The following is a 15,034-nucleotide window of genomic DNA, read 5'->3' on the forward strand; positions in this document are numbered from 1 at the left end:
CTGCTGCTTGGCTTATTGATTCTCTAAAAGAATACAAGGGAGAAAAGTCCCAGAGAGATGTTTCAGAGTTTCAGGACAGTAGCAATGAAGACAGTATTCATGCAGAAGTTTACAAAAGTTAGATATAAGAGAACAAAGACTCCTTTCATCATTTAGACAGAGTTGGTCTGACAAAGGTTTTCAGCAAATCACATCACCAAATATAGAAACTAAACTTGCTGACTCAGTCTATTGCACTAACCACTAAACTCAGCTTCCTCCCTTAGCTATACAGGATGGAAACACAGGGGAAAATGCCACCCTTTCTGGAACAGGCAGACTTTTGGAAAATGGCCAGTTCTGGAGGCTGACTTATATAGTGCATCATTTTACCAGACACATACCACACCCAGAAACTTTGCAGAAATCATCATGACAGAGATGAGATAATCTCAATACTTTCTGATTTTATGTGAAGATAATTTACCATGCTCATAGAAGGTTTTATGAGAACTTAAATGTTTTATTCTGAAAATAGTCAGTAATTCCAGAATCCCAGAAAATTTAAATCCGTGTCAGTTTGGTATGTTTGGACAGCTGATGGGGAAATTGTGCTGTTTGAATTTCATGTCAATAGGGCATAAAGACACATATTAAAATAAGAAATAAGGCACCACACCAGAATGAGACAACATAATGTGAATGAAGGCAGTAAGTTCAAAGGATAATTGTATATTAGAGTATTTGCCAAGGGGAGAGTTGCATTTTCTCTATCATGTCTCTTATTTCATTATACCAGAGCCTGTATACCTGCAGTGATTCTTTTAGGACTTAAGACAAACACTTTATTTATTCTAAGAACAAATTGATACACAACTTATATATCACATATAAGAAGTCAGTTGTCTCTTATTGTATTAGTGTTGATCAGTTAGCTGATGAGGTCTTTAAATCCTACCCCAATGCCAGCATGTCTGGGATGGATGTCTTGATTGATTGATTCATTCATTCATTCAATTTAGCAAACATGTGTCGAGCCCCTACGATGTGCCAGTTATTATATAGTGCTAAGGGCTGGGCCTACACAATTGAATAAAGTAAAAGCTCTTACCTTCATAGAGCTTAGAGTCTGGAGGGAGAGAGAGACAATAAACAAAAATTGAAATAATAATTATAGATAGATTTAATTGCCATGAGGGGACTAAACATGAAGACTAATAGCAGGAACCAATAGTGGATAGGTTAGGGAAGGCCTCTCTTGGGGGAAGAAATTTAAGTTGAAACCTGAAGGCAGAAAAGGAGCCTCCAGGGGAGGAGGAACAAGGAAAAGCCTCTCCAGCATGATCGACAAGGGCAAATGGCCGGAGGTGGACATAACTTGGTGTGGAGCCAGGCAGAACACCTGAGAGAGGGAAGGACTGCACTGGAGACGGTGGGCATTGGCTGTGTCCTGCAAGGCCCTCGAGTCAGGAAAGCACAGGGATTTCATCTAAGTCTATTGGGAAGTCACCAGACGGTTTAGTGCCAGACAGAGCCATGGTGAAGGGCAGACATTCATATCCCAATCCCTTGAGCCAGATATAATTTGGAATTCAGAATTAATTTTGCATTTTAGAAAGTTAATATAGTGTGTGTATGTATTATATCCACATATTAACCCATATATTATATAATTTTGCCAGAGATGCCTGGGACAATACCATTTAATCAAACATATTAATGTATCTGTAGTGAAATCGTGTGACTACTCACACTAAGTGAGGTGAAGAAAGACTGTACGTGGCCCGCCCATCAGTTCACCTCAGGTTTTGCTGCCAGATGAGTTCAAATCCCATGAGGTTTTGCCACCAACTAAGTTATAAAAGAAAAACAAATCAGTTTTTGGAGCTTTTTGTATTTTGGGGTTGGTGGATAAGAGATTGTAGATTTATAATTATCCCGCTTTTTTTGCAATTATTATGAACAACATTTATTAATACATCAATTCAAGAAATATTTTTGAAGGCCTGTGTATCATGTAGTGTTCTGAATGTCTGGAAGTGTATTAAACATGAAAATAATTCATATTTTCTTTAATTTTTTCATTTTAAATGACAAAATTGTACATATTTATGGTGTTCAACACAATGTTTTGGTATATTTAGCCATTGTTCCTGATACTCACATTTGCTTTTCATAATTAAGGAGATTTATCTGCCTATGATAAAGCATTTGTTGTATTGAATGTGGAGAAAATATTGCACATAAAACCAATAGTATATTTTGAATAATTTCTGCTCCAAATAATGATTTGTAATACTGTTTTTACAGTAGTGCCAGATACTGAGGCGAAAACTTTACATGAATAATTCCATTAAATTCTAAAAGATGAGATAGATACAAACTCAACACCAAAAAAAATCCAATTAAAAATGGGTAAATTGCTTAATAGATATACATCCTTCAACATGGATGAGTTTGGAGGACATTATATTAAGTGAAATAAGGCAGGCGACAGAGAGACAAATGCCACATGTTATCACTCATACATGAGAGCTAAAAAAGTTGAACTCTTAGAAACATAGAGTTAGAATAGTGGTTATTAGAGGCCGGGTAGGGTCGTGGGAAGCAGGATTAGGGAAAGGTTAGTTAATGGATACAAAATTAGAGCTAGATAGGAGGATAGTTCCAGTGTTCTATGGCACTGTAGAGTGACTATAATTAATAATTTATTATATATTTTCAAATAGCTAGAAGGGAAGATTTTGAATTTCCATATGCTAATTACCCTGATTTCATAATTCACATTATATACACATATCAAAATAGTAGACTGTACCTCATAAATATGTATAATTAAGTGTCAATTAAAAATAATAGTAAAAGCCAAAATATGAGGCAGATACAAATATTATTTCCATTTTACAAATCAAAAAACAGAAGCTGAACAGCAATTTGAAGAGGCCTCTGGAGCTTCACATGGAGGGAGTCAGGCATGCTTGGGAGTTACCCTCCAATTCCAACCTGATGCCCAGGGTGGCAAACAACCAGTGACTGTCAAGTGTAGGAGTGTGAAAGCTCAGGTCCCTTGCATCAGATGAGGACATCTGATATATAACTGAGATATAACTGACCCTCCAGAGTTGCTCCCTGGATCAGGCTAAAGCCCGCCCTCTGTAGAACATGGTCTGAGATCATATCCTGCCTCAGTTTCCTCCTCTTCCCACTCCTACTTCCCCTCTCTCACGCCTTTACAGATCTTTCCCTAACACTTCCCTTAACAAATCACTTGCATGCAAATTCTTGCTCTGGCTTTGCTTCTGGGGAACTCACTCAGAACAGCCCTGCTGAGCCCTGGAAATTCCTGACCCTCCAAAACCTTGGGACATAATAAAATGATTGTTGTTTAAGCCTCGTTTTGGGGTGATTTGTTCTGTAGCAATAGGTAGACAGAACTCCCTGCAACACCACCATAAGTGTATGCAGCAGGGATCCCTCCAGTCCTTACTCAAAGGACTCCAGGGCTCAATTCATCCTGACCAGATTGACATATTCCACAAAGGAGCTTTCCCTTCTTCTGCAGGTCCCCAGCCAACACTGCTGTCTGGGGGCCCACAGAGTGTTTCATCTGTTGATATAACATCACCTTGAGACCCATTCTATGGTGAATGAAGTGTGGCAAAGAGTCCATGATGAGGAAAGTTGCTGTTCCTACCACAAACCACCACTTTCAGACGATTCTAGCCTGATGGAGCATGGAACGGTCTGTTGAAGGCAAACCCAAGACTGGGGTACTGTCCTTCAGGATGTGGTAAGCAGCATGAAGCAGCAGCTATTACATATGGTGCTGCTTTGTTTTTAAAAATTGCAGATTTGCTTGTGAAAGGCTTAATTAATAGTCATGGTGGCTGGGAGCGGTGGCTCACACCTGTAATCCCAGCACTTGGGGAGAAAGCCAAGGTGGGTGGATCACTTGAGGTCAGGAGCTCAAGACCAGCCTGGCCAACATGGTGAAACCCCAACTTTACTAAAAAAAAAACAACAACAAAAAACAAAAACTTATCCAGGCATGGTGGCGGACGCCTGTAGTTCCAGCTACTTGGGAGGCTGAGGCAGGAGAATTGCTTGAACCTGGGAGGCGGAGGTTGCAGTGAGCGGAGATCATGCCACTGCATGCTAGCCTGGGCAATAGAGTGAGACTCCGTCTCAAAATAAATAAATAAATAAATAAATAAAAATAAAATTTGTGTGGATTGTTTTCAGTCTTTTGCTCTTATAGATAACCAAAGTTCAGGCTACTTTTCATTCAATTTATAGAGACTCTAGAGTCTAAGTACAAATGGGAATCCAATGGGAGCGATCTACAGGCTCAGGAACCAGAGGCAGGAATAGGAGTGACCTTGCTCACCATGACTCCCAGTGACCTGCTTGTCCCTTTGAATACGTTTTTATGGTTTATCCCCCTGGCTTTGGTGTACTTTCAGCAGCCAGCAGCTAAGGCTCTTTGTGGGAAATCTGTCCTTGGACTACTAGAGCCCTTTTTCCCACACATGCAGAAGGCTGAAAGTGACTGAGAGTTTGTGTTCTTCTTTCTCTGCCAGGGCTGCCTGGTGCAGTGTGGGAATATGAAACCCAGCTCCCTTGCTGAAGATGGGACAACACCAAGGCTGAACTCACACTTGAATTCACCCACAGGATGGGGCTGAGCCTGAGATCTCATCCTTCATGGCTTCCTCTCCTTCCTTCTGTTTCAGAGGAATCTGACCTAACTCACTTGTTTAGAGTTACAAACAAAATAAATGGTGAGGTCAGGACCTAGGATTGCTGTATTGAGCAAATAAAAATACAGGACTCTTGCATTTTATCTAGCAATAAAAATAAAATAAAAAATACAGGATGTCCTGCATCTTATGTCTGGCAACCTTAGTCAGGATACTAATCCAAGTCTGTCTAATTCCAATACCCATGCTGGTTTTTAAAAAAAATTAATAAATCATTTTGAGTCTGTAAATAACTTCAGTGTCACATTACAAAATACAAAAATACAGTAGTAAAATTGTCAGCCTTCCTACTACCCCTGTCCCCAGCCACTCGTCTCCTTTTTAGAGGCAATCATGGTAACCTTTTTCTTATTTATCTTTCTAGCAATATTCTCTGTAAATCCAGGCATAATTATATATGCATCTCTGTACCTTGCTTTATTAATTTAACAACTCCTCTAAGGTAGGTCCTTATCAGACATATGGTGCTGTTTTGTTTTAGAAAATTGCAAATATACTTGGGAAAGGCTTAATTAATAGTCTTGTGGATTGTTTTCAGTCTTTTGCTCTTATAGATAACCAAAGTTCAGGCTATGTTGTTTTATTCAATTTAAAGAGACTCTAAAGTCTAAGTACAAATGGAGATCAAGAATTGAGCTGCTAAGTGCTGCTAACAGCATTGAGGAGAGATGTAGGTTACTTGATGATAAGGCAGCCGCAAGAGTTCAATGGATGCTATCTGATGTCTGAAATTATTCTGCCCCTCATGAGTACTTATACAGGAATTATTTGAGTAGATATGAATACATGTTTATACCTAATCCTTTAGTCTCTTCCTGTAGGAAACTAATAACCATTTACTGATAAAAATATCACTCACAGCCAGGCGCGGTGACTTACGCCTGTAATCCTAGCACTGTGGGAGGCTGAGGTGGGCAGATTACCTGAGGTCAGAGTTCAAGACCAGGTTGGCCAACATGGTGAAACTCCACCTCTACTAAAAATACAAAAAATTAGCCAGGTGCTGTGGTGCATGCCTGTAATCCCAGCTACTCTGGAGGCTGAGGAAGGAGAATCTCTTGAACCCAGGAGGTAGAGGTTGCGGTGAGCCGAGATCACACCACTGCACTCCAGCCTGGGCTGCAGAGCGAGGCTTCATCTCAAAAAAAAAAAAAAAAGAAAGAAGTAAAAAAAAATATGTCACTCACTATAGGGGTGGGAATTCATCTACCTAATTTCATCTGGGAGTCAGTGCATTTTCTAAAAGTAAGTGCTCAACAGTGGAGTACCTGCTGCCAAAATCCTCAAAGATAAGAATGTGTTTTAAAAGGGCTGGCTCTGTGATAAGCAGAAGGGCCTATCCATCAGTAATACTTCTTGCTGGAAAAGCAGCCTCAGAGAAAGTGGAACCGATATAAGGCAAGTTCCTGGAATATTGTTTTGCTAATAATATCTCCAGAAGGGGAGATTCATTACAGAGACAACACAGGGCCCAGTTTGTTCAGGGTCATGATGCATGACTGGTTTGGTGGTTATAGGAGGTTGACAAGAGCAAGTAGTCCAGCACAGAGTCAGGCAGAGGCAGTTTAGTTTCTTACTGGCTGAGAAGATGGTGGGGGAGATGCAGGGATGGGTTTGGTATGCATAAAAGTATTGTTCTGGACTGATATTTATTTGAGGCAACTCTCATTAGGTTAGACATGCTCCCTGCCCTCAGTAAGTTTACAATGCATTAGACTGACATGGAAACAGATGTTATCTAAACAAACACAAGAATGATTTTGAACAGAATTTATACATTACAGTATAGAACACATGTGATGCATGTAATTCAGTTTTTTTTTGTTTTTTTTTTTGAGATGGAGTCTCACTCTGTTGCCCAGGCTGGAGTGCAGTGGCATGATCTCAGCTCACTGCAACCTCTGCCTCCCGGGTTCAAGTGATTCTCCTGCCTCAGTCTCCCAAGTAGCTGGGATTACAAGCACACACCTTCACACCCAGCTAATTTTTGTATTTTTGGTAGAGACGGGGTTTCACCATGTTGGTCAGGCTGGTCTTGAACTCCTGACCTTGTAATCCGCCTCCCAAAGTGCTGGGATTAAGGTGTGAGCCACCGCACCCGGCCTCAGATTTTTTAAAACTCCGTAATTTTCTGCTAGTCAAGTATATCAAACTAGGCCCTGAAATAAGTTTCAACAAAGGCAGGCTAATGTAGTAAATAATTTAGATCATGGTTATTTAATTGCTATATATCCTATGTTTCCCCCATGTAGAATTAATGTTTTCACTCTCTTTAAAAACATTTTTATTACTGAAGGAAGAAATCACTTTGAAACGTTAGATAAGCATATGGATTTTCAACGTAGTTTGATAGGTGATGTATTAATTGGGAAAAGAACACTATCAGATTCTGCCCCAGGGCATTTTTTTTTATTTTTTTTTTTTACATTCTTACATTGTCTGTTCTCTGAATTGTGTGCGTGGTATGTATGCTCTCACAGTTTAATTTATAAGTTAAATAAATAACACGGAAACCAAAACAATCTGTGCTCCTTAAGTACTGTACAACAAACTTCTCAACCACAGGATTTACTTTAGCACTTCCCGAAAAGTGCTTCTGCAAATATACAAACTCACACCACCCACTTGCAGATTGCACTTGAATACCAAATAAGGGAGTCTTGAATGAATGAGGGGCTAGAATGCAAAACCCAGCATTTCTTTTAAAAGCAAACAAAAAAATAAAACATTGATTTTTTTTTTCCTGCATGTGCCTGGTAATACTAGTTTGCTTACACTCCTGTTTCTTGTTTCTTTCTCTTCCTAGCCTCCCTATACTTCATGATCCTCACCAGGTAAATTTAAGAATGGTAAAAACAGTGAAACTCATCTTTGGTTCTAAATCTCTTCACCTTTCCCATCTTTATTCATCCACTATCTTCCTTGTTCTCATGATTGTCAAAACAGGAGTCATGGAATCAAATAAACCCCAAGCCCAGAGTGGAGGGACTTGGAAGAGTCATTTTGTACAAAAGTCCAGGAGATTTAAATATAGTATTTAGATTTTCAGGGCTGAAAGGAACCTTACAGAGGGTTCAATCTCATTTCAGGTATTTGACTCTTTCCTGAAATATGTAGAATTGTTTTAAAACAATTTTTAACTTTGTGAATTCTTGACTCGTTACGCCTACTCTCTTCAGCCTTTGAAACAGAAAATTATTAGTCTTAACTTTCAAACCAATAATGTTTAAACATTCAATAAAATAATTATTGTACATATCACATGAAACTAATGTTATAAGTCACTGCCTAAATGAAGTACACGACTTTTTTTCTCTAACTTTCTTTCCCAGGCTAATTCTCTGGTATATTTTTCTACTTTCTGTGTTCCCATAGCAGTGAGAAAACAGGTATCATCTTTATTTTGTTATTCTCTTGTTCAAATCTGAAAAGGTATTGAACTCAGAACTTGAGGAGCATAATTAGTATAGAAAGTAAAACAAGAAAAAGTAGATACAATAAACTATTAAAAAATCAAATTCTGAAGCTCAAGGGGACCTCAGATATCATCTAATAAACTATCTTCGTTTTATTTTTAATGAAAAAACATTATTTAATTCTTTCATAGTTATCGGAAATTTCAGTTTTACTTTATTATTTTACCTTTATAGTTGTATGATACTTTGCTTTTTAAAATAATTATTTTAGATTCAAAGGGTACAGATTTATTACATAGATATATTGCCTGGTGCTGATGTTTGGGCTTCTAATGATCCCATCGCCCAAGTGGTGAACATAGTACCAGATAGGTAATTTTTCAACCTTGCCCCCTCTTCCCTCCCTTATTTTGGAATCCCCAGTGTTTGTTGTTCTCATCTTTGTTTCCTGTGTACCCAATGTTTAGCTCCCACTTATAAGTGAGAACATCCTGTGTTTAGTTTTCTGTCTCTGTGTTAATTGGCTTTGGATAATGGCCTCCAGCTGCATCCATGTTGGACATGATTTTGTTCTTTTTTATGGCTGTGTTTTCATTTTACACGATGAAGAAAGGAAGACCTAGAAAATTTATGTGACTTGCTCAACAATACACAAATGGTTTATGATAGAGCCTCTGTTAGTTCCCATTCTCTTGACTTCCAGAACACCGCTGGCTGTATGAAAGATCTCAAGAGAAGCTTTAATGCATAAAACATATTTTTGCCTTTCTTGATTCCTAAAAGCTTTTTCTCTAGGCATTTGGATTCTGAGAACTTGATTTCTTTTCCTCTTCTTCTTTTTCTATTTGCATAACAGCTAACTCTAATTTAAGCTCTTTCAGCCCCAGTTATAGGAAACGTATTATGCATCCACTGAGCCAGTTCAATTCTCAGACAATTCTCAGTGTTTGGAATGGATTCCAGAGTCTCCCAGCATTTGACTATTTATTTATAATAAGGAAGGGGAGGCTGGGCACGGTGGCTCACGCCTGTAATCCCAGCACTTTGGGAGGCCGAGGCAGGCGGATCACGAGGTCAGGAGTTCGAGACTAGCCTAACAAACATGGTGAAACCCCGTCTCTACTAAAAATACAAAAAATTAGCCAGGCGTGGTGGTGGGTACCTGTAATCCCAGCTACTCGGGAGGCTGAAGCCGGAGAATTGCTTGAACCCGGGAGATGGAAGTTGCAGTGATCTGAGATCACTGCACTCCAGCCTTGGTGACAGAGCGAGAGACTTCCTCTCAAAAAAAAAAAAAAAAAGAAGGGGGGGAGCAGTAGTATAGGCAATCCAAATTAATAAATAATTTTTGAGTAATTGCAAATAAATTTAATTGTAGAAACTAATACCTAGGTTAACATATTAATGGGAGCATCCATCTTGGGCAAGGCATATATGCCGGAATGTTCAGGGCCTTGCTTTCTGTTGATGAAAAGACTCAAACTCTGTAAAATACTTGAAGAGATTTATTCTGAGCCAAATATGAGTGACCAGGGCCTGTGACACAGCCCTCAGGAGACCCTGAGAACATGTACCCCAGGTGGTCAGGGTGTAGCTTGGTTTTATACATTTTAGGGAGATATGAGACATCAACCAAGTACATTTAAGATATACATTGGTTCAGTCCAGAAAGGCAGGGCAATCCAGAAAGCAGGGTAGAGGGCTTCCAGGGTCATAGGTAGATTTCAAATTTTTCTGACTGGCAATTGGTTGAAAGAGTCATTATCAATAGAAAGGAATGTTCCAGTTAGGATAAGAGGTTGTGGAATCCAAAGTTTTATCATGCAGATAAGCCTCCAGATAGCAGGCTTCAGAGAAAATAGATTGTAAATGTTTCTTAACAGACTTAAGATCTGTGTTGATGTCAAATGCTGGTCCGCTTTTTCTGAATTTCAAAAGAAAGGAGCGCATAATAAGGCATTTCCAACCCCCCTTTTCCCATCATGGCCAGAACCAGTCTTTCAGGTGCCCTGGACAAGGAGGGAGTTCATTCAGATGGCGGGTGGGGGGCCTTTGAATTTTATCTTTGTTTTACATTTCAAAGAGAGGTGACTTACATAGTTCCATCTACCACCATCTCTACAGCGTATAGGAGGAATGCTGATAACAGCTGCAGAAGTTCTGGAGCATACTTCAGATACGAATGGTCTAAGCAATAATGGAATATTTAGTACTGGAGGGAAGTACATGGTAGAGCTGGTAGACCTGCAATGAAAATATTTCTAGAATGAACCTCATTGAGAAATGCCAAACAGTTCAGGAAACTAAAGGAATGAGCACTTGTAATCAGTTCCAAGAATATTATTAACAGGACTCTTCCCATTCACATGGTCTCATTACCACTCCTCTCCATTATTTTTACACACACACACACACACACACAATGTGTTTATTTTCAACTCCATTTGATCTATATGTATCTTCTCTCTTCATTTTAGTAGCTTTCTGATTCTCACTGTTTTCTAAGAGATGATGTAATTTACTATTTTTATTTAAAAAGTTCTACATCTCTTCTCTTTGGAAATTCTGCAGATTTGTCTGATTATGAAAAATTAGGCATTTACCTTTAAAATGAATCCCAACACGCCAAAAACAGTTTCAGTGTCTTCCTAGTCGTTCTAATATCACTGCAGAAAGCATTCTCAGTCTTTACAAAGATGTTTTTTAAGATTATGTTAGTATATGGGAAATAAAAAGATATTGCTACAATGGGTCCTCTTGGCTCAGCTGTCTTGAGGACCAGTGTGGATCCATGCAGACTTGGATTGAGCTGTAGCAGATTACAGAAGTTCTTGAACGATTGTTTTCCTTACTTCTGGATGGGAAGAATATACATGGAGGAAGTTCTTTTTCTTTCCTTGAAGATCAGGATTCCCCAACCCCTAGGCAGTGGACCAGTACCCGGCAGTGGCCTGTTAGGAACCTGGCCGCATAGCAGGAAGTGAGCAGCAGGCAACTGAGCATTACTGCCTGAGTGCCATCTCACATCAGATCATTGGCTGCATTAGAGTCTCATAGGAACAGGAGCCTTATTGTGAACTGTGCATGCAAAGGATGTAGGTTGCATGCTCCTTCTGAGAATCTAATGCCCTAATGCCTGATGATCTGAGGTGGAACAGTGTCCTCCCAAAACCAATCCCCCTCCTCAACCCACCTCTCCATCCATGGAAAGGTTGGGGATGGCTGCTGTAGATGGCATATTTCCAGATTCTCTAGAGTCTTTGGCTTTTTAAGGATCGTTTTAACCCTTGTATATTGTGTTTTCTTCTAATTGTTTCCTCTTAAATAAGGGATCACAGAACTAGACACCTCTATGGATAAGTTTTCTGCTAAAAAGCAGTTCCTTATCTACAATCTTTTCTCCTTCAGGCCATTGCCACTTCCTCTTCCTTGATTATCCCATTTCCCAGTTTTTCACCACTAGGTGTCATAAGTATTCACACAAATGCCTGAAAGGTGTAAAAATAAGCTTTCTTTTAAGTTGTGCCCCTGAATATCTTGACTTTCCACATCCAAATCTTGTATTGCTTGGGCTCATGTTATTAGCTCACATTGACATGCGATTCCAACTCAGAATAGAGAGTGTAGAAAAAGTCATAAAATCAAGGAAAAACGGCTGGGCGCGGTGGCTCACGCTTGCAATCCCAGCACTTTGGGAGGCCAAGGCGGGTGATCACGAGGTCAGCAGATCGAGACCACGGTGAAATCCCGTCCCTACTAAAAATACAAAAAATTAGCCGGGGCGTGGCGGCGGGTGCCTGTAGTCCCAGCTACTCGGAGAGGCTGAGGCAGGAGAATGGCGTGAACCCGGGAGGCGGAGCTTGCAGTGAGCCGAGATTGCGCCACTGCACTCCAGCCTGGGCGACAGAGCGAGACTCCGTCTCAAAAAAAAAATAAATAAAGTAAAATAAAATAAAGGAAAAACAAAATGAACATCTTTTTGGTAAATATGTGTAGCTTTGACTTCTGCAGATTTTGTTCCTGTGAGATCATCTTCCCCACTCTGCCCCAAAAGTGTCTTTAGCCTCACTCTATGAGATTAACGGGCAGCTTTCCTTTTAGTGATGGGCTGCACAAGAGTGCGTTGAAAAATCCCTTAGGAATCATTTATTACTTTGTAATGGGGAAACGTGAGACATCACAACCCAGTCTTGTGCTACTTATTTGTATTTCAGCTGAAACGGCTGACACATTAAAAAACATTTTCAAATCATGGATTTTTAGAGCTAGAGCTAGAAGAATCCTTAAAATGAAGTCTAATCTTTTCATTTTATGTGAAGGAAATAATACCTGGAGTGTTTTGCTCCAGGCAAAACTAGATCTTGGACACACATCTCCCTACTTCTAAGCATCTTGCATCCTCTCTGTACATGTTACTATTGGGATAGATTCATGCCTCTACTCTGGAATAGATTCATGTATCTACTCTAGAATTTTAAGGAAAATATAAACCATAATACTCCTTCGACTATGCTTAATATTATGAGAAAAAGCTTAGCTCAGTAAGCCTCCTCGGTGGAGAGTTAATGTTAAAAAAATTAGGCTATTAGTTACTGGCACAATAATAAGAAACAATTTTTAACAGATTTTGCAGATTGCGTTTTAATTCAGAATGATGGGATAACTTCCTTTTTGCTTTTCTTTGTATTGAAAGTCAGTCAGATCCATACATATTTTTTATTGAAGTTTTTTTTTTAAAAAAGGGGATGACCATATTTAATGAAAAGATATACTCGATCCATTGGTATTCTAAGTAAAAAAGAATATTATTATTGTTCTCACCAAGATGTAAAGGAAATAAGCTTACTCAGATGTAAAAGCAGTGCAAATATTGTATTTTTAAAGTAGCTATATCATAAAATAATTAATTTTGTTCGTGTATACCCTTTATTCGTTGGGAGGAGCAGCTGTCAAAAGGCCTGGGGAGTCCCTGTCCTCTGGTGCTCATCCAGTTCCCCAAAGGAAGGATAGGATCATGCAGATCTTGTAAGATCCAAATAAGCCTCTTTTCTTCATGTTGACTGAACTTTCCTTGATAAATCCAGGTGCAGAGAATGTCTTGTGCGTAAGAATCTTACCTAATTATAATACTGAATAATTCCTTTGGCGAAATTTTCTCTCCCTTTTGTTTTTTAAAGATAATTAAAAACATTTTAATTGTATTTTTTCCTAGTTTTATTGAGGCATGATTGACAAACAAAGGCTAAATTTTCTTTTAAAATTTTGAAACACTGAATTAAAAACTAACTCTTTGGTCATAACTACAGTGAATGGAAATTATATAAACTGGTGATTCTGAATGGTGTTTGAGATGTTACACCAAAAAAAGGCAAGGTTAAATTAGGGAGATAAGGTTGTATGCTTAACACCTTTTCTTAGACATTCATAATACTGCTTAGCATATCAAAGACTGAAAAATCCTGAAATTAAGAAACTTAACCAACCGTGTTTAAAGTAGCATGTTCTGAGTATAGTTGATCAGAAACTTCTGTTGTAAAATACAAGTAACATCTTGTGAAAAACAGGTTGAGAAACCTTGATTGCCCTAATGACATAAGATACTTGCTTGATAAATCAACTACTGCATATCTTGCAATATGCAACCCTTCTATTTGACTTTTATCGTACTTATTGGCAGTATCTTAACAGTATTCCTTTTGCCTCTATGACTACTTTTTGGCCAATGGGAAGATTCATGGTTGCAACATCAAAGACCCAATCCCTGCCAAGTTTACCCACAGAATGTCACAATTATCAATGTCCTGTCAACAGATGAATCATTTAAAAATATTACCTTCAAGTGTGTTATAAAACAGTTTTTTCGGTTGATTTCCTCTAACTCATTTGTTTTCTTTTACTTAATATGAAATTGTTCAGTGTCACAGAGTCCCAGGCTATTTACTAAGCACCAAATATGCCTCGATTAAAAATACAATGGTCATAGTCCCTGGGTTTGATAGTATGGTTGTTACCTGGTGGTAGGCGTAGCTAGTACATTCAAGATAAAATACTGACCCTTCAGTATCTCATAAGAGGTTGAGTGTGTTTGTTTCTAATGCTGCATGGAAGTGGTACATCCAGATTACCACTGGTAATGGAAGTTTATCAGAAAAATCAAGATATAACAAGGTAACCTGGGCTACTGTTTCATAGATTTGTTGCAAATTTGCGTTACGTCCTGGAACTTCAATAATTGGGTATTCCATAAATCTTATGGAGAATTGTAATAATATTTTTATACTATTTTGCATCTGGCTACGGCTTCAGTGATTTGTTTCCCTGTGAGTACTTTCTATTTATACATCCCAAGAGAGATGATTCATTTTGACTACTTTGTCACCATTCCATTCAAAGAACTCTTACTAGGCAGAGTTTTATACCAAGTGACTACAAAGGCCATTGATCACCTTCCAGTTCAGGTTAATTTGGAAGCTAGTGACTTTGAACCAACCCAATCCCTAACTCCATCAATTAGGTGGAGGAGATACATGTGTCATAAATACTAGCTAATATTCCAGAAAAGTTACTTGCACTTTCTGTCCTAAAAGATGGTATAATGAATGTGGTGATGGGAACCCAGATTTTCATAGAAATTTTTTGGTCCAAGGCCTGTCAAGATCTGATTGCCACCTGCTCCTTCAACTGATTTCTGATTATCCTTCTCCTTCATTAGTTAAAATAAAGTAATAAAAGTAAAGAAATTGCTATTCTCTAAATGTTTCATGCTTTTATTTCCTTACATAATTTGTGCTTGCTCTTCTTTTCTACTAGAATGCCATCCTCTTCCTTTATCACCAAATTAAATTCTTCTCATATTTCTGGGTTTGATTCATGAAGTAC

The sequence above is a fragment of the Homo sapiens genome, chromosome 8 (assembly GCF_000001405.40).
Source record: "Homo sapiens chromosome 8, GRCh38.p14 Primary Assembly".
Taxonomy (NCBI): domain Eukaryota; kingdom Metazoa; phylum Chordata; class Mammalia; order Primates; family Hominidae; genus Homo; species Homo sapiens.